Source organism: Homo sapiens, chromosome 4 (genome assembly GCF_000001405.40).
Source record: "Homo sapiens chromosome 4, GRCh38.p14 Primary Assembly".
In the NCBI taxonomy this organism is placed as follows: domain Eukaryota; kingdom Metazoa; phylum Chordata; class Mammalia; order Primates; family Hominidae; genus Homo; species Homo sapiens.
Window position 1 is genome coordinate 80,886,689 of NC_000004.12, and position 22,127 is coordinate 80,908,815.

Below are 22,127 nucleotides of genomic sequence, written 5' to 3' on the forward strand. Positions count from 1 at the left end.
GCATCAAACCATCCAGGAACACGTAACTTCACCAGTATAAATAAGGCATCAGGGACCAATCCTGGAGAAATAGACATATATGACCTTTCAGACAGATAGTTCAAAATGGCTGTTAGGAGAAAACTCGAAGAAATTCAAGATAACCCAGAGAAGTTTAGAATCATATATCAGATAAATTTAACAAAGAGATTGAAATAATTGCAAAGAATCAAGCAGAAATTCTAGAGTTTAAAAATGCAACTGACATACTGAAGAATGTATCAGAGTCTCTTAATACTAGAATTGATCAAGCAGAAGAAAGTATTAGTAAGCTTGAAAATAGCCTATTCGAAAATACACAGTCAGAGGAGACAAAAGAAAAAAAATAAACAATGAAGCATACCCATGGAATCTAGAAAATAGCCCCAAAAGGGTAAATCTAAGAATTATTGGCCTTAAAGAGGAGGTAGACAAAGAGATAGGAGTAGAAAATTTATTCAAATGGATAATATCAGAGAACGTCCCAAACCTAGAGAAATATCAACATTCAAGTACAAGAAGGTTATGGAACATTATGCAGATTTAACCCAAAGAAGACTACCTAAAGACATTTAATAATCAAACTCCCAAAGGTCAAGGATGAAGAAAGAATCCTAAAAGCAGCAAGAGAGAAGAAACAAACAACATACAATGGATCTGTAATACCTCTGGAAGCAGACTTCTCAGTGGAAACATTAGGGGCCAGGATAGAGTGGTATGACATATTTAAAGTGCTGAAAGAAAAAAAATACCCTTGAAGAGTATAGCTGGTGAAAATATCCTTCAAGCATGAAGGAGAAATAAATAACTTCCCAGAAAAACAAAAGCTGAGGGATTACATCAACACAAGACCTGTCCTAGAAGAAATGCTAAAGAGAGTTCTTCAATCTGAAAGAAAAGGATGTGAATGAGCAAGAAGAAATCAACTGAAGGTTAATAACTCACTGGTAATAGTGAGCACATAGAATAATACAGAATTATGTAACACTGTAATTGTGGTATAAATTACTCTTAAGTAGAAAGACTAAATTATGAACTAATTAACCATGAAAACTACAACAACTTTTCAAGACATAGTGCAATAAGACATAAGGAGAAATAGAAAAAGTTAAAAAGTGGGAGGATGAAGTTAAGGTGTAGAGTTCTCATTAGTTTTCTTTTTGCCTGTTTGTATATAATCCGTATTAAGTTGTCATCAGCTTAAAATAATGGGTTATGAGACAGTATATGCTAGCCTCATGGTAACCTCAACCAAAAATCATACAATGGGCATATAAAAAAATAAAAAAATAGGAAAGTAAAGTATATCACCAGAGAAAAATCACCTTCACCAAAATGTAGACAAGAAGGAAGCAAGGAAAGAAGAAAGAGAAGACCATTAAGCAACCAGAAAACAAATAACAAAATGGCAAGAGTAAGTCCTTATTTATCAATAATATCATTGAATGTAAATGGACTAAATTCTGCCATCAAAAGACATAGAGTGGCTGCATGGGTGAAAAAACAAGGGTCAACGATCCGCTGCCTACAAGAAACACACTTCACATACAAAGATACAGATAGACTGAAAATAAAGGGATGAAAAAAGATATTCCATGCTAACGGAAACCAAAAAATGATCAGGAGTAGTTATACTTATGTTGAACAAAATAGATTTCAAGAAAAAAGTGTGAGACAAAGAAGATCATTATTTAATGATAAAGGGATCAATTTGGCAAGATAATTTAATGATTGGAAATATATGTGCACCCATCACCAGATATATAAAGCAAATATTATTAGAGGCAATGAGATAGATCCCAATACAATAATATCTGGAGACTTCAACATCCTACTTTCAGCATTGGACAGATCTCCCAGGCAGAAAATCAACAAGGAAACATCGGACTTAACCTCTACTATAAAACAAATGTGCCTAATAGATATTTACAAAATATTTCATTCAATGGCTGAAGAATACACATTCTTCTCCTCCTCTCATGGATCATTCTCAAGAATAGACCATATGTTAGGTCACAAAACAAGTATTTAAATTTTCAAAAAAATTGAAACAATATCAAACATGTTCTGAAACCACAATGGAATAAAACTAGAAATCAATAACAAGAGGAATTTTTGGAAACTATACAAACACATTGAACATTAACAATATGTTTCTGAATGACCAATGAATCAGTGAAATAATTAAGAAGGAAGTTGAAAATTTTCTTGAAACAAATAATAATGGAAACACGACATGCCAAAACCTGTGGGATACAGCAAAAGCAGTATTCAGAGGGAAGTTTATACCTATAAGTGCCTAAGCAAAAAAAAAAAAAAAAAAAAAAGAGGGAAAACTTCAAATAAACTACCTAACAATGCATCTTAAAGAACTAGAAGAACAAGAGCAAACAAAACCCTAAATTAGTAGGGAAGAAATAACAAAGATCAAAGCAAAAATAAACGAATTTGAAATGAACAAAACAATACAAGAGATCAACAAAATAAAAGTTTTTTTTTAAAGATTAACAAAATTGACAAACCTTTAGCCAGACTAAGAAAAAGAGAGAGAAGCCTCAAATAAATAAAATCATAGATGAAAAAGAAGACATTTCAACTGATACTGCAGAAATTCAAAGGAACATTAGTGGCTACTATGAGCAAATATATGCCTATACATTGAAAAACCTACAAGAAATGAATACATTTCTAGACATATATGACCTACCAAGATTGAATCAGGAAGAAATCCAAAACCTCAATAGACCGATAATAAGTAACAAGATTGAAGGTGAAATAAAAATTTCCCAAAGAAACGCCTGGGACCCAATGGCTTTACTGATGAATTTTACCAGAAATTTAATAGAGAACTACTACCAATCCTGTTCAAACTATTGTGAAAAATAGAGGAAGACAGAATACTTCCAAACTTATTCTACAAAGCCAGCATTACCCTAATACCAAAACCAGACAAAAACATATCTAAAATGGAAAACTGCAGGCCAATATCTCTGATGAATATAAATACAAAAATTCTCAACAAAATACTCGCAAACCAAATTCAAAAATACATTAAAAAGATCATTCATCATGACCAAGTAGGACTCATCCCAGGGATGCAAGGATGGTTCAACATATGCAAATCAGTCAGTGTAATACCTCATATCAACAGAATGAAGGACAAAAAACATATAGTCATTTCAATTGATGCTGAGAAAGCATTTGATAAATGTCAACACCTCTTAATGATAAGAATCCTCAAAGAACTAGGAATAGAATGAACATACCTCAATGTAATAAAACCCATATATGTCAGATCCACAGCTAATATCATACTGAATGAGGTAAAACTGAAATCCTTCCCTTCCCTCTTATATCAGGAACATGATAATGATGTTATTTTCCCCACTACTATTCAAAATAGTACTGGAAGTCCTAGCCATAATACTTAGACAGGAGGAAGAAATAGAGGGCATCCAAACTGGAATGGAAGAAGTCAAATTATCTTTGTTGGTAGTTGATATGATCTCATACTTGGAAAAACCTAAAGACTCCACAAAAAGCTGTTAGAACCAATAAACAAATTCAATAAAGTTGCGTGATACAAAATCAACATATAAAAATCAGGAGCATTTTTATATACCAACAGTGAACAATCTAAAAAAGAAATAAAAAAGTAATCCCATTTACAATAGCCACAAATAAAAGAAAATACCTAGGAATTAATTTACCCAAATAAATGAAACATCTATACAATGAAAACCTATAAAAGACTGATGAAAGAAATTGCAGAGATCCAAGTCTTTGCTATTGTGAATAGTGCCGCAATAAACATACGTGTGCATGTGTCTTTATAGCAGCATGATTTATAGTCCTTTGGGTATATACCCAGTAATGGGATGGCTGGGTCAAATGGTATTTCTAGTTCTAGATCCCTGAGGAATCGCCACACTGACTTCCACAATGGTTGAACTAGTTTACAGTCCCACCAACAGTGTAAAAGTGTTCCTATTTCTCCACATCCTCTCTAGCACCTGTTGTTTCCTGACTTTTTAATGATTGCCATTCTAACTGGTGTGAGATGGTATCTCATAGTGGTTTTGATTTGCATTTCTCTGATGGCCAGTGATGATGAGCATTTCTTCATGTGTTTTTTGGCTGCATAAATGTCTTCTTTTGAGAAGTGTCTGTTCATGTCCTTCGCCCACTTTTTGATGGGGTTGTTTGTTTTTTTCTTGTAAATTTGTTTGAGTTCATTGTAGATTCTGGATATTAGCCCTTTGTCAGATGAGTAGGTTGCGAAAATTCTCTCCATTTTGTAGGTTGCCTGTTCACTCTGACGGTAGTTTCTTTTGCTGTGCAGAAGCTCTTTAGTTTAATTAGATCCCATTTGTCAATTTTGGCTTTGGTTGCCATTGCTTTTGGTGTTTTGGACATGAAGTCCTTGCCCACGCCTATGTCCTGAATGGTAATGCCTAGGTTTTCTTCTAGGGTTTTTATGGTTTTAGGTCTAACGTTTAAATCTTTAATCCATCTTGAATTGATTTTTGTATAAGGTGTAAGGAAGGGATCCAGTTTCAGCTTTCTACATATGGCTAGCCAGTTTTCCCAGCACCATTTATTAAATAGGGAATCCTTTCCCCATTGCTTGTTTTTCTCAGGTTTGTCAAAGATCAACCCAAATGTCCAACAATGATAGACTGGATTAAGAAAATGTGGCACATATACACCATGGAATACTATGCAGCCATAAAAAATGATGAGTTCATGTCCTTTGTAGGGACATGGATGAAATTGGAATCCATCATTCTCAGTAAACTATCGCAAGAACAAAAAACCAAACACCGCATATTCTCACTCATAGGTGGGAATTGAACAATGAGATCACTTGGACACAGGAAGGGGAATATCACACTCTGGGGACTGTGGTGGGGTCGGGGGAGGGGGGAGGGATAGCATTGGGAGATATACCTAATGCTAGATGACACGTTAGTGGGTGCAGCGCACCAGCATGGCACATGTATACATATGTAACTAACCTGCACAATGTGCACATGTACCCTAAAACTTAGAGTATAATAAAAAAAAAAATTAAAAAAAAAATAAAAAAAAAAATAAAAGCTTTGAGAAGCCCTAGATTAAAGGAAAAAAAAAAAAAAAAAAAGAAATTGCAGAGATCACAAAAAAGTGGAAAAATATTTTATGTTCATGATTGGAAGATAAATATTATTAAAATATCCATACTACCCAAAGCAATCTACAGAATCAATGCAATCCTTTTCAAAATACCAATGCCATTCTTCACAGGAATAGAAAAATAATCCTAAAGTTTATATGGAATGACAAAAGACCCAGAATAGCCAAAGCTATCCTGAGTCAAAAGAACAAAACTAAAGAAATCACATTATCTGACTTCAAATTATGCCACAGAGCTGTAATAACTGAAAGAACATGGTACTGGCATAAAAACAAACATATAGACCAGTGAGACAGAATAGAGAACCCGGAGACAAATCCCCACACCTACAGGGAACTCATTTTCCACCGTGGTGCCAAAAACATACACCAGGGAAAAGGCAGTCTGTTGAATAAATGGTGCTGGGAAAAGTAGATATCCATATCCAAAAAAGAAACTAGATTCTTATCTCTCACTGTATACAAAAACCAAATCAAAATTGATTAAAAACTTAAATCTAAGACCTCAAACTATGAAACTACTATGAGAAAACATTGGGGAATCTCTCCAGGACATTGGTCTGGGCAAAAATTTCTTGAGTAATACCCCACAAGCACAGGCAACCAAAACAAAAATGGACAAGTGGGATCACATTAAGTTATAAAGTTTCTGCACAGCAAAGTAAACAATCAACAAAGTGAAGTATGAGTCAACATATGCAAATTAGTAAATGTGATGCACCATTTTCACACAATGAAGAATAAAAATTGTATGATTATCTCAGTAAATAAAAAAGGCATTTAATAAAAATCAATATATTTCAATGATATAAAAACTCTGAACAGATTAGGTATAGAAGGAATATATCTCAACATAATAAAGGCATGATATGACAAGCTCATAGCTAATATATTCGATGGCGAAAAACCGAAAGCTTTTCCTCCAAGATAAGTATTAAGACAAGAATGCTCACTCACAGCGCTTCTACTCAATATAGTACTGAAAATTCATGCCAGGGCTTTTGGACAAGATGAAGAAATTAAAGGCTTCCAAATCAGAAAGGAAGAGGTATGACTATCTCTATTTGCAGATGACATAATCTTATATGTAGAAAATTCTAAAGATTCCATCGAGAAAATTAATGTTAGAGCAAATAAATGAAATCAATTCAGTAAAATAGGATCAAAAATCAACATATAAAAAACAGATGCATTATATCCACTAACAACAAACTATCTAAAGAAGAAATTTAAGAAAAAGCCCAATTTATAGTAGCATCAAAAATAAAATAAAATGCTTAGGAATGAATTTAACCAAAGATGTGAAAAAACTATACACTGAAAATTATGAAACATTGATGAAAGAAATTGAAGGCACAAGCAGATGAAGGCATCCCATGTTTATGGATTGAAAAAAATAACATTATTAAAATGTTTATACTTCCTAAATAATCTACAGAATCATTGCAATATCCTCATTCCAATAATATTTTTCACAGATAGTAAACAAAATCCTAAAATTCATACAGAACTATGAAAAACGTCAAATACCCAAAGCAACCTTGAGCAAGAGGAGCAAAATTGTAGGCATTACACTGAGTGATTTCAAAATATAAAGCTTAGTAATCAGAACAGTATGATGCTAGCATAAAAACAGACATATAGACCAATGGAACAGAATAGAGAACACAGAAATATATACATATTTTTGATCAATTGATCTTCAACAAATGTATCAAGAACACAATGTGGAAAGGATGGTCTCTTCAATAAATGATACTAGAAAAACTAAATGAATACATGCAAAAAAAAAAAGAAATTGGACCCTTATCTTGCAATGTATATAAAAATAAACAAAATAGATTAAAGATGTAGACATAAAACCTGAAAATGTAGAACCGCTAGGAGATGACATAGGGAAAAAGCTTCTGTACATTGGTCTGGGCAACGATTTTTTAGATATGAACCAGCAAGCACAGGCAACAAAAGCAAAAATGACAAATGGAATTGCATCTAACAAAAGCTTCTGCATAGCAAACGAAACAATCAGCAGAATAAAGACACAATCTATGAAATGGGAGAAAATATTTGCAAACCACACATCTGATAAGGGATTAATATCCAAAATATATAAGAAACACAAGCAACTCAGCAGCAAGAAAACAAATAACCCAATTAAAAAAAAATGGTTGAAAGACCTAACCAAACGTTTCTCAAAAGAAGACGTACATATGGCCTACAGATATATGAAAAGGTGCCCAACCTCACTAATCATGAAAAATATGAAAATCAAAATCACAATAAAATATCACCTCACACTTGTTAGAATGGGCATTATTAAAAAGACAAAAGATTTTTCTTTACAGGGATGTAAAAAAAAAGAGAATCTTTGTACATTATGAAGGCTAAACCTAGAGTCAGTTTCTTTGTTCCCCCCAGAGATGTTGTGAATTATTTATATGCTTATTAAATACCTCTGTGCTTAAACCAACTTCAGTAGACCACGTTGTCTACAATTAAGGATCCTAACCAGTACATCTAATAATTTGTGTGTTTATTTTATGTACCAGAATATAAGCATTCCAAGAGAAGTTAACCATTACTGCCAATTGCTGAAGTCCCAGTGTGAGGCACAGCTTAGCCCAGAGTAGGTAGATGCTAATATATAGTTATCGAATATCATAACATAAAGTTTTAAACAGCTTTACTCTTTTGTGCAATATTGGTGGGAATATGAATTGGTACAGCCATTATGAAAAATATTGTGGAGATTCCTTAAAAAATTTAAAAAATCTAACTACTATGTGATCCAACAATTCGACTTCTGCATATATATTTAAAAAAATGTAACCACTATCTCAAATATTTGAACTCCTATGTTCATTGCAGAATTATTCACAGTTTCTAAGGTACAGATATGTGTGTGAGTGTGTGTGTGAGAGAGAGAGCTATATAATGGAATATTATTCAGCCTTGAAAAAGAAGAAAACACTATTATTTTTGTGGATGATGTGGAGGACATAATGCTAAGTGAAATAAGCTAGACACAGGAAGAAAAATACTGTATGGTCCCACTTTATATGTGGAATCTAAAAAAATCTCACTCACAGAACCAGGAAGTAGAAGAGTGGTTGACATTAAGGGAGTTCAGGGGCAATGGAAATGGGGAAATACTGGTCAAATTGGACAAAGTTTCAGTTATGCAGGATGAATAAATTCTGGAGATTAAATGAACAGCAAAGTGAATAGTTAACAATACCCTATTATATACTTGAAATTTGCTCAGATAATAGCTCTTAAATGTTCTCACCACACACACACACACACACACACACACACTAGTAACTATGTGAAATGATGGCTATGTTAATTAGCCTGATTGTGGCAATCATTTCACGTGTATACATATATCAAAACATCACTCTGTAAATCTTAAATATATGCAATTTTTATTTGTCATTTATGCCTCAAAAACTAAAATGAGTTATTGCTTTGTTTCTTCAACTCATATTAATTTGAACCACTTTAAAGGCATTTGGGTGAAATACTTTGTAGAATTTGGTTAATCAACCTTTAGTAAATAAGCACAAGATTAGAAATGTCAATAGGCTTGAAAAGTCAGGTTATTTGTTTTCTGAATATATGCCTTTACATTTTTTCACAAATATATGTTTTGTCTTCATTAGTTTGCAGAAAATATATATATAATTTGAAGGATGCAGAGCTAGATAATGTTTGATGTTTTTCTATATTCAAATTCCTCTGACTACTCCCTCAATAAAAATGTGTACCAATGATAACTGTCCCAAAGAGATTTCAATCCCTCCTTCTGTCAAAGCTATATAGGAGCAGCCCATTCATCTAAAGATTAAAATGAGCTACTTAGCTCATCTGGGAAGCAGCTGTGCAGAACTGTGGAAGGCAGTGGTAAGGAAAAACTACTATTAGGTAAACAAAGCAACAGAAAGATGGTGAAAAGGGTAAAGGAATAAGAAATTAGAATTCATTCAAACAAAACTCACTCGGATGAATGAGGAAGAAGGTTTTTTCCCGCCAACTCAGTAAATGTTTAATCTGGAAAAGCATGCTTCCACATCTGGCTTATGTTTAATATTGTAAATATAACTTCTTTCATTTTTAATTTTATTTTTGATGTGAATTTTAGTTTATGAACAAAAGTAAAATAAAAATCAGTGGAGAGACATTGTATTTAATGTTACAAATATTAAATATTTCAAATAAAATATTCAGAATACAAAATAGTACATGCTCTCTTACATGTGCTTACCACAGTCTCTAATGAAAACTGAAAACATTAGCAATATTAGGTATTTATACTGTTTGAATTTGAATCACCTAATATATGAAATAATATTTTAAAAATACCAAAATATCCAGAATGGTTATTTTGTAATACACATGTAATACACATAATTTTCAAAGTGGATACAATTTATTAAAAAGGAAAGTAAAAGGAAAAAATGAGTAAACGGATTTGTTTACATATATTTGTTTGAGGGCAGTATTGTAATGTTTTATAGGCAGGAATGAACTAGTTTCAAAGTGAATTAGTCCTCTATTTTCTGAGGAACTACTCTGAAAGAGCTTTCTACTCTTCAGATCAGACACACAAATTAACATGTGGCTTCTGTGGGCTTACTGGCCCTCTTTTCAAGGCTTGAAAAAGTCAAATCATATGTAACACAAGTAAATCCACAAAAAGAAGATAAATGGAGTAAATTGGAAGTCTAATTACCTGGAAGGAGAAATAGATGAAATTGAATGATAGTTTTTCTCTGCTTCCATATGTAATAATAAAGGCAATGACTTACATTTTGTAGTTTATAACACATTTACACAACCAAGCATTATGTCAATTTAATATATTCCTTCACTGACAGATTTTATTTCACCTAGTGCTTATAACACAATGGCTCAAAATATTATCTGTTATTCTAGAAGTGCTATAATAATGTATCTGCATTAAGGTGTGATTAATCAATCATACCTTGCTGCTATAATAATTTATTATAAGGGCTATATTAATGCATCTGATTAAGGTGTGATTAATCAATCATTTGAGGGAAGTACGGGAAAGACTGCTGTAAGAAAATAATTCAGTTTATCTTTGAAAAATGAATAGGAATTCACCCAAGAGAAAAGTGAAGGGCACGGCATTACAAATATCAGCAGAAAAATGAAAAAGGCATGGCAAATTTTAGGAACAGTGAGAAGCTGCTACCTATTCAGTAATCTTAACCTTCTGGATATATTCTAGAACCAAGCTGAAATGGAATATAAGACACATAGAAAAACAGCAAGGTGTACTACTGGAAGTTCTTTATAGGGTATTCCAGAGCAGTTTTCATCATTGTACAAGAGATTAAACATTTCTAAAACTTTATGTTATGAAATTCAGTAATTATATATTAGGCATCTACTCTGAGCTAAGCTGTGCCTGGCATTGGGAATTCAGCAATTGACAGGAATGGTTAGCTTCTCTTGGAATGCTTATATTCTGATAGATAAAATAAACACACAAACTATTAGATGTACTGGTCTGGATCCTTTAATTGCAGACAACAGAGTCTGTTGAAGCTGGTTTAAGCATGGAGGAATTTAATAAGCATATAAGTAGTTCACAACATCACTGGGAGGACTGAAGAAACAGATTCTAGGTTTAGCTTTCATAATAACTCTTAAAGCCATGCTGAAGAACTGAGGTGGCAAAAAAGCTGCAGCCTCTACCACAATCAGAAAACTGCATAACCACGAAGCTCCTACCACTGTGGACAGCTCCAGAAACATGTTTCTGCAAGTCAGGAACCACAATATCAAGAATCTTCTGCCACACCTGACATCTCTAGAGCTATGCCTTTTCTGTATAATCTATTTGAGCACAGTTGTTTCCTTATGCCCTGTGTCTTTCCCCACATAACTTAGTTTCACATTGATTTCCCCTGTGAGAGCTTCTGATTAGAGAAAACTAAATTGAAACAGGGTATTTCCCTGACCTCTTCACGGGCCTCACAACAGGGGTGCCTCAGTTACTCAGCCTGCGGCACTCAACCCCTTGCAGGAGGGAGCATGCAGGTGAGTCGGTGCAGGAGCCAGGGCAAGTGCTTTTGGGCACTGGCAGGAGCAAACTCCATGTGGGGCCTCATGACAGTGTCCAGTGGGGTGCCCAGAACCCCTGAAGCTCCAGAGGAAGTGTTACAGTAAGGGCTCTTTTAGCTCTGCCATCTGTGGATGGTTTAAGTGTTAACAGCTCAGTGGGCCCTCTTATATCCACACTCATTGCTCGAGCTCTTGACCAGTGACCAAGAAAAATGAGGTCACATGAACAAATTAGAGGTGGTAAATGTGGGGGATTTTATTACCAATGAAAGTTGGTTTCAGCAGGATGGGGAGTTGAAAAGGGGATGGGGCAGGATGGCAATCCTCCCCCAAAGTCTGGCTATCCCCAGCCAGACTCCTCTCCAAAGCTACACCTTTAAGCTGTTTCTCTGAACTCAAGCTGCTTCTCTCTAACATCCAAACTTAGTCTCTAATATCCAGCTGCTTCTCCTTCCTCTGCCAGCTGAACCTGGGGTTTTTATGGGCACTGGATGTGGGGGGTGGGATGGGCTATGGGTGGTTTTGGAAAAGGCAACATTTAAGTAGGAAAACAGGGATGCAAGTTCTCATTTTGGGCCATGATATCAGGCTTTTCGGCTTGAGGGTGGGTCCCTAGCTGGGGACCCACCCTCTTCTTCCCAGAATTTTCCTGTCTCCTGTTGCTATCAAAATTACATGGGAAAACCCAGCTGTAAGATAATCTGAGAAAATTAGATTTTAATCCTTCTACCTCTGTAATCCAGGAAGGCATACCATAAAGGAATTTGAGTGGGTATGGAGCAAAACAATCCATGGACTATGATGATAGTGATGAGTAAATTAAATGACTTAAACAATTTTTTAGGTAATTTCCAGGAAATAAAAGGAAGCCAATACTGAGAGTAAGCAGGCAGGAGCTACTTTAGACAAAATAATCAAGAACAGCTTCTCTAAAGAGGTAAAATTTAGGCTGATTCCCAAAATATAAGGGCTTGCTAACTTCCAATGCAAAGAATAAGGAAAAGATTATTTTAGGTAAAGATCTCTATCATACAGCTAAACAGCAAGATGTCTGGAGCCAAACTGGATTTAACAGTCTCTGCCCCTTGCTTGATGATCTTGGGCAAGTTACTCAAACTCTCTCACACTTGTGTATAACATGAGCTTTATAATAACACCTATATGGAAGGCTACTGTGAAGATTTTATGAGATAATATATGTAGAACACTTAGAACAGTCACTGGCACATAGCATATGCAAGTAAAAATTCTTCTATTATCATGAACATTTCCGACTCTTAAATTTGAGTTATCTATGAGATGTAGCTAGATATGAGAGGTCTGTAGATACAAGCCTGAAAGTATTCAACATAAAGTTAGTGCTTAAATCCTTGGGAAAGAATGCAACCAACTAGAGTAGAGAAGAGATGAGATGTAATGTGAAAACAGCCAATTTTATATGTTGGGAAGAGGAAAAGAACCCAGAAAATGAATCTGAGAAGGAAGGTACAGCAGCATAAAAGGAAACGTAGAGCACAATCTTATCATGGGACTCAAGAGAAAAAAAGTCTTTCAATAACAAAGAAGTGGCCACCTGTTGACTAAAATGAGCATGAAAGGCAAGGACAGACCAAGTGAACTTGAGAGAGGTGCTTTTAAACTAGGCATGTCAGAGATTTCAGTCCTCCTAGGGAATAAAAGAGAATGTAGAAGTCTGACAAGAGCAGCCACAGATTGTACAGAAATACACGGTGGTAAAAAATGCAAACTCTGGCATCAGTCAGCTTGGGTTCAAATCCTGGCTCTGCTTCAGCTACATTGGGCAAGTTACCTGGCTTACTCTCTCTGCCTCATTTGTCCCACCAGTAAAATGGAGTTAATAATACCTGCCTCAAAGGGTTGTTGTGAGAACAGAATGAGCTCATAAATGCAAATTCATTGGAAATGTTTAAGAAGAGATGAACATTAAGAAATGCCCATTGTGTCTGGAAATAGGTAAAACATTGGTGACTTTATAAGAACAGTTTCAGTCAAGAGGTGGTGGTAACGGGTCAGAGAAAAACCCTATTGTAGTAGGTTGAAAGGTGACTTGGAGGTGGAGGAAAAATAGCATGAGTAGATAACTAAAAGTTTGACAAGAAAATAAATGACATAAAAGTGGAAGAAAGTGTGTGTGTGTGTGTGTGTGTGTGTGTGTGTGTGTGTCTGAGAGAGTAGAAGGGAACAGTAGTCTATAACGGAAATGTGATATGAGAACTAAGAAAGAGGTTTATAGGATAGGATGCATAGGAGCACAAGGAAAGTGAAAGGCATTTACATAATTCTATCCAATAGCATTCTAAATCAACTCTTTTATGTTTCTCTCTTATTATTTTATGTTTTGTAACTATACAAAGAATACAACAGAAATAATATTAACATAGCAATATTCTTGTCTGATTGTATATCTCATGTTTAAAGAACGTGGGGAAAATATCAGACATGCCAGCATGTGTTAAAGCAAATAATTTGTCAAGACTAAGATCTAATTTATCAGTTTAGTTTCTCAGTAACTGGATTAATACGTATCATCTAAATAAATCTGTTGCTAGGATGACTGTATTTTAATCTGTTGTAGGTAAAATATGTTCAATAAGAAAATTAAGAAGGGGTTGCTTCTTTCAAATAAAAGAGTGGAAAAGCCCTAGAAGAAAAGGCTAAAAGTAATAAGAAGCAAAGTTTGATAATTCAAATTTATATGGCAGTATTCTCTGGAAGAAAATACAATTTAGTAGGATTCAATAAATAGTTATTTTAAATAATAATAATAATAATAAACAGGGCTGGGATTTGAAATCAATCAAAATTTTTTTCTAATTAGACAAGTTTGTTGACCTCTATGTCCTTTTGTTTCTGCATTTTATAAAAATTAATAATAATATATACCTTAGTTTGTTATTCTGAGGATCAATATGGTATTGCATAAAAACCAACCCACAGTAGATGCTTAGTATTTTAAAGCACTGCTAATCATTTTACTAAGTAACTACCATTTAGTCATGAAGTCAATTAAAAAGGGTTTGCAATAAAAAAGCTAGGAAGATGAGTAAAAAAGGAATTTTTACAGCATAACTCATCACCATAGTAAACAATGGTATACAGAGAGCAATGAGAGCAATGTTGCCTGTTGAGGCTGGACTCTCCCTAAGTGCATGAAGCAAGGTGCACAGGCGTTATGGAGGGCAAAAAAAATATACCTATCACAATCTGAAATGTAATTTTAGTTACAGAATCTATTCCTGTAGCATATGACTAGAACACGCATGTGCACATACACCTATTACATATTAAGCTATTTTAATTTTCAAAATCCATTACTGTATCAACAGGATTGTTTTTCTAGCAGCTCCCAGGATCTGCTAGAGACATCTTCTTTGGGCAGATCATCCAAGAAGCAGTGTAGTTATGCAATGGGTGTTTTTTGAAACATTCTGGCTCCTTCTGTGGGTAAAACTGAGCATAAGTTATTTTCTCTCATGTCATCCAAAGTAGCAAACATTATTTTAAAAATATATTTGCTGTTACTTTGCCACTTTTAAGATGCTTCGTGACCCTTAGGAATTGCCACAGGTGTATAAGAGCCTGTTTTATTTACTTGTAGTTTTAAAACCAGCCACAATTGGGTCTCCATGCCAATGTTTCTTCTTATTCCACTGTCTAGAATAACAGACTTCAAGACTACATATTTAATCATTATTGATGCTTTATCCTTTGGCCCCAATCACTGCCAGCAATTGGTTCAATCACTTCATTTCTTTCATATATGGTTACCTACTTTAGTTTTGAATATGACTAGAGACTTATTAAGCCTAAAATTTCCAAACAGAACTCTAAATTAAATCTCTTAAAGTTTTAGAACAGTTTTCATTTTTCCTTCTCAAGGATTACCAGCTGAGTTTTTCCCCGTCCTCCTAACTCAGCCAACTAACACTTGACTTAGGCTAAAGTTTGTTTCTCTCTCTGTCCTCTGATCTTGCCATTTCTAAAATTATATACTTTTGTGTGTATATATTTATATGGCATTGTGAAAAACAGTTCAGCCTTCAAGAGTGGCACTTTCAAATAACAAAACTGTGATATTTTCCAGCTGGGTCAGGTGCCTTCCTCTTTCTCACTGAAGGATGTTCTGAAGTTACATTTCTTCTATGAGAAAAATCTGAACATTTTTCCTATTAATTAATAGGTAGAATGTATAATTAAGAGCCCTTTCCTTCTCTGGGTCCAGGATGAAAATAAAGTCTATCCTGAACATCTATATGTTAACAGCAAATCTGTGGCACAGAATGGCTCCTGTTTCTTTATATCATTATTTTATCCATATATATATGGATTATTATTTTATCCATATATATGGATATATATGGATAAAATATAGATTATATATTTTATAAATATATGAAATATACTTTATATAAATATATAATATGTTTATATATGTAAGTATATATGGATATACATATATACATATATGTATATATGTATATATGTATATATACATATATATGGATATATATCCATATGTATGGATACAAATATATATTTTATCCATATGTATCTGGATTATTATTTTATCCATATATATGTAATATATACACACACACACACACACACACACACACACACACACACACTTTGGTGACTCCCTAGTTGGGGCTATAGTATATCATCAACCTTTGGTAAAGAAGAGATAGTTGGTTTGCTAACCACATAAGAAATTGTTTCAAGATAACATCATTTTTTTATAAATGCAGACTTCTTCAGGCAACTTTTAAAGACTTTGATAAACTATTTTTTACCTCCAATTGGTTTTATAACTGTTCCAATCAGAGAATAAATTATCTTTGCAGAATAAAATATATAGGACATTATGTTAGTGTTTTATTGAGTCTTGTACATATATATATATACAAACAAATCATAAGTAAATTTCCATTACTGTTGTGCTGCAAAGAAATTGAGACTATTGACATATTTTAGTATAATTTCTTATAAAGTGTTACTATATAACCAAGAAATTATAATTTGCTAGATTCTTAGAAATCTTCAATCAAAGTAAGCCTTGTAAATGGATTTACTGGCAAAGACCTAGATCTTTGGTGAGATAATATTGAAAACTTTCCTACCTTTTTGGATAGGGAGACTATGGAGTGTTACAAAGCATCTTTTATTTTGATGACTGTTGCTGCACTGGGCCACTCTGACCTCAGAAGCTGAATCACATGTCTGCCTGGAAATGAGCTGTTGTTCTTACCCATATCATTAGATGGTCTCAGGAGAGATTTTTCCTGTTGGCTCAAAAAGAGCCTAAAATTCCAGATAAATTGGGGAAGGATAAAGGGAAAGGTTTACATCTATTTATTATCAAGAAAAACAAATTTCTAGTTCTTTCTCAGTTACATAAAAGAAAATTGAAATCTGAAAAAAATTTTAATATTATTTTTGCTATAATATTATTTTGTTCTAATTATAAAGACAACCTCTATTGAAGACAATCCAGAAAGGGAAAAAAACTATAAAAACATTAAAGTCACCCATAACTTTACCACCCTAAGATATTACTATTATTATTTGGATTTTTGTCCTACTAGTATTCCTTTATTTAGGGAGATATATATTGGCAATATGAAAATTCATATCAATATAAGGACAAATACAGATATAGATAAATACATAGATGATAATATTTTTTTCAAAACTTGAATTATTCTTTCAACTGCTATAAGAAAGTCCTTCAAAGATATATCTGAGAGGTAGCTAGCTCTCAGTCTATTCAATGGAACACATTAATTAATATTGATTAGCTGTAACATATGCAGTAATGTAACACATAGTCTCTCAAGAGACTTTTATTATTTCCCTCATTTACATAGGGATTCATAGAAAAATAAAGTTAAAGTCATACTTGGTCAGGAGCATAGAGAAGGGTTTTCTAAACTTCCTCAAGACATATGCACTTAATAGAAAATATATAATTTTTTATTTGAGGACACACTTTAATGACATAAAGTCATTTTGAAATAATTCTTTTAATGTTCCTGTGTGTCTTAGACCCTATATAGAGCAGTAAATATGAAGTGCAATTAGCTGATTATCTAAGGATTTAAATAGAAGGTTTTCCAGTTGTGAGTGTATTATTTTTGGAAATGTTACATGCATAGCCCTCTGCCAGGTGTGATGTTCAGTGTTAATGGGATTAATCCTCACATTAACCGTATTAGAGGGATTAACATTTTTGGTCTGGAGAACACTGGATTAAAGCAGTGCTTCCTTAAAATGGTTCCAGAGTCAAATAAGATTGGGAATAGTTTCAACTCTTCTTAGAAACTGGGAGTGCATATGAGCAAGTCAATGCGTGAGGCTTCCTGCAGTAGAAATACCTACCTCTCTCTCTCCACCCCAGGTCCTAGTCAGATTGGCAGTTGGGAACCTTTTGCTTGGGTTCTATGGGGAACCCTTTTTAACAAGGCCTAAATTAGATAATCTCAACTTTTTTTCATATCCTAGCAAAAGGAATGTTCTTTTCCTCTTTATTTTTTTTTCAAAGGACATTTCCTTGGGACTTGACTTTTTTCTTGATTAATATGGTAAGATCTGGAGGGACTGATATTAGAGTTAGGCCCTAAAAAAAGAGACAAGGAAGATGTTCAGCATGTTTCTTATAGGCTGTAGGTCAACCAGCTTCAAGGAAGACAATCCTTGGTGTTTTCTCATGGTTCAGCCTAGCTTTGAAGGGAATGCAATGGGATTTGGAACAAAAGCCTAACAATTCAAAATGATGTATATTTACATATTAGTGAGAAGGGTGGAACCTTCCAATGTTTGGTCAAACTGGTATTTCTTCTCCAGGAAACTCTGAGATGTATGTCATAAGCAGCAAACATGTGTCCTAAGTCTTTGTCACAGGCAAGAAAATGCACATGCTTAATATGACAGAAAAAAATTATAATTTAGAATATGAATAAAAAGTGGTTTTATACCATGGTAAGCTTACATGCAAATATCCAGCCTTATGATACTTAAAAGTATGTGTGAAATATGGATGAAATTTTATGTGAGTAAATTTTGTAATAAAAACATAATTCAAATTCTTATAAGTTAAAATAGAACCTATCCTTTTTAGGTTGAAGGGCCTCATTTATTGAATTTGGAAAAAACTGGAAAAGCTTAGTTAAATTAATAAAATGAATACTCTTCTGCTGCAATTAAAAATCTATGCTTTACTTTACAGTCAAATATTATCATTTCAACCATTTGACCACTCCAGTCCATCAAGTTAATGGTCAATATGTTTGAATCTGGTCCACTTAGTGATAGAAGACCAGAAACACAACCAGCTGTTAGACTACGCTTACTAGTGAGTTTGACCATAAACATGGACTGTCTTCTGATTCCTTTTCCTCAACGTAGACTACAGGGCTGATTTCCATTGTGCCTTCTAATCATTAAAATATATTGTAATCAGGAAATTGATATTTTTTTTAAAAAAGACTAGAATTCTCAAGACTTGCATACACACAGCAGTAATATTCTTAGTGCTTGTATTAGTCAGTTTTCACACTGATATAAAGAACTGCCCAAGACAGGGTAATTTATAAAGGAAGGATGTTTAATTGACTCACAGTTCCACAGGGTTGGGGAGGCCTCAGGAAACTTACAAACTTGGTGGAAGGGGAAGCAAACATGTCCTTCTTCACATGGCAGCAGTAAGAAGAAGTGCAGAGCAAAGGGGAAAAAGCCACTTATAAAATCATCAGATCTCGTGAGAACTCGTTATCACAAGAACAGCATGGGGATAACTGCCCCCATGATTTAATTACCTCCCACTGAGCTCCTCCCATGACGTGGGGATTATGGGAACTACAATTCAAGATGATATTTGGGTGGTGGTACAGCCAAATCACATCATTCCACCCTTGGCCCCTTCCAAATCTCATGTTCTCACATTTCAAAACACAATCATGCCTTTCCAATAGTCCCTGAAAGTCTTAGCACATTCTAGCATTAAACCAAATGTCCAAGTCCAAAGTCTCATCTGAGATAAGGCAAGGCCCTTCCACCTATGAGCTTGTAAAATCAAAAGCAAGTTAGTTACTTCCTAGATACAATGGGGGTACAAGCATTAGTTAAATATACCCATTCCATATGGAAGAAATTAGCCAAAATGAAGGGGCTATAGGCCCCATGCAGCCCAAAATCCAATAGGGCAGTCATTAAAATTTAAAGTTCCAAAATGATCTCCTTTGACTCCATGTCTCACACCCATGTCATGCTGATGGAAGAGGTAGGCTCCCACAGCCTTAGGCAGATCCACCCCTGTGGCTTTGCAGGGTACAGCCCCGCTCCTGGCTGCTTTCATGGGTTAGCATTGAGTGTCTGCAGTTTTTCCAGGTGCATGGTGCAAGCTGCCAGTGAATCTACGATTCTGGGGCCTGGAGGATGGTGGCCCTCTTCTCACAGCTCCACTAGGCAGTGCCCTTATGTGTGGGAATTCCAACTCCACATGTGTCTTCCACATTGTCCTAGCAGTTGTTCCCCTTGAGGGCTGTGCCCTGCAGCAGTCTTCTGCCTGGACATCCAGGTATTTCAATATGTCCTCTAAAATCTAGGTGGACATTCCCAAACCTCAATTCTTGTCTTCTGCACACCTGCAGGACCATCACTGTGTGGAAGCCACCAAGGGTTGGGGCTTGCACCTTCTTTGGCAATGGCCCAGGCTGTACCTTGACCCCTTTTAGCCATGGCTGGAACTGAATCAGCTGGGACACAGAGCACCATGTCTCAAGGCTCCATAGAACAGGGGACCCTGGGCCTTATCCACAAGGCCATTTTTCCCTCCTAGTCCTCCAGAACTGTGATGGGAGGGGCTGCAGTGAAGGTCTCTGACATGCCCTGGAGACATTTTCCCCATTGTCTTGGTAATTAACATTTGGCTCTTCATTACTTATGTAAATTTCTGCAGCTGGCTTGAATTTCTCTCCAAAAAATGGGCTTTTCTTTACTACCACATTGTCAGGCTACAAATTTTTCCAACTGTCATGCTCTGCTTCCTCTTGAACACTTTGCTGCTTAGAAATTTCTTCTGCCAGATACCCTAAATCATTTCCCTCAAGTTCAAAGTCCCACAGACCTCTAGGGCAGGGTCAAAATGCTACCTTTAGCTCATTGCTAAAGCATAATAATAGTCACCTTTGCTTCAGTTCCCAACAAGTTTCTCATCTTCATCTGCATCTGAGACCAACTCAGCCTAGACTTCATTGTCCATATCACTATCAGCATTTTGGTCAAAACCATTCAACAAGTCTCCAGGCAGTTGCAAACTTTCCACATTTTCCTGTCATCTTCTGAGCCCTCCAAACTGTTCCAACCTCTGCATGTCACATAGTTCCAAAGTCACTTCCACATTTTTGGATATCTTTATAGCAGCACCCCACTCCCCGTACCAATTTACTATATTAGTCCATTCTCACACTGCTATAAAGAACTTCCTGAGACTGGGTGATTTATAAAGGATAGGGTTTTAGTTGATTGACAGTCCTGCAGGGCTGAGGAGGCCTCAGGAAACTTACAATCATGGCAGAAGGGGAAGCATGCACATCCTTCTTCACATGGCAGCAGGAAGGAGAATTGCAGAGTGAAGGAGGAAAAGCCCTTTATAAAACCATTAAGTCTTGTGAGAACTCACTTACTATCACAAGAACAGCATGTGGGTAACTGCCCCATGATGCAATTACCTCCTATCGGGTCCCTCTCACAACACGTGGGGATTATGGGAACTACAATTCAAGGTGAGATTTGGATTGGGATACAGCCAAACTTTGTCAGTTCTCGAAAGAAATTTCCTGACAGTGTTTTTATTATGAATCTCCCTTACCCAGAATGGTATGGAAAAAAACATTGAGTTCACCAAGAGCAACCTGCCAGAAAGCTTAAGGGCCTCCATCACATTCCCTTCTTTGGATGGAAGAACAGTTCTGTTAGTTTCACACTGGCTTTGCATGCAGAGTTTCACTGTGGCGAAGGGCTCGTCCATAACATTTTTCATCATTCTTTTCAACCTGAGATTAACAAGCAAGTGCAAAGTGATTTCAGACTTTGCTCAGGGAACCTGAAGTGTCTTGTTCATAGGCGTCTGAATTTTTCAACTCTCATAAATTCTTCTACTGATATCCCAATGGTCCAAAACATTTAGTAAGTTAGAGCGTGTGTAATGCACTGTGGTGTTGGAGTTGACACTGCATCTGTATACAATAACAACTTGACTTCAGGTAGTGCATAAATCCTGTGGGTTACATTTATCAGAGCTGTAAAAATAGCCACAGAATACAAAGTCTGTAACACTTAATTTATTTTGCTGATTGGATGTCCCACAGAGTTTAAACTTTAAACATATTTTCTTCTTACTTTGTTTTGTTCTTCCCCATTCTTTAACAGTTTGAGAATATTGATTTAGCATGACATTCCTACCTCCTTAAGTAACAAAGTTTGGAAAAAATTAGTGGAGAGGTGTTCCGAAATAGAGTTGCTCACATGCCAGAATTTTACTCTTACATACTCTGATTTGGTGATGTACCTGCCCGTACACATTAGTGTCACCAGAAAACATTTCCTTCACTCTGTTTCTCATTATATCTCAGATCAAAATGTTCTTTAGACATAAATGTGCAAACCAAATTGCCTTATTGTTATTGGTGAACCACACCTCAGGTAATACTGCTAAGTTCATTCAATTGTTAATAGATATAAATATTTGCTAAAGCAGATTACAAGATTGTTAATGTTAAAGTGAGTGCAAATGCTCAGTTCTCTCATCACCACCTTAC

The 22,127-nt window shown here is 35.1% G+C and overlaps 1 protein-coding gene across 5 annotated transcripts in view, besides 1 other annotated feature; it reads left to right on the plus strand.

Moving 5' to 3' along the window:
* CFAP299 (cilia and flagella associated protein 299) overlaps nucleotides 1-22,127 on the plus strand; it is a 642,486-nt gene that overhangs the window by 565,424 nt on the left and 54,935 nt on the right. The gene's annotated exons all lie outside the window — the stretch shown is intronic.
* Nucleotides 10,968-11,107: an enhancer, noted in NCBI's record as "active region_21655". NCBI's record gives its function as "activates an Ori minimal core promoter by ATAC-STARR-seq in GM12878 lymphoblastoid cells {active_cell/tissue: GM12878}" and the evidence as "EXISTENCE:reporter gene assay evidence [ECO:0000049][PMID:35858748]".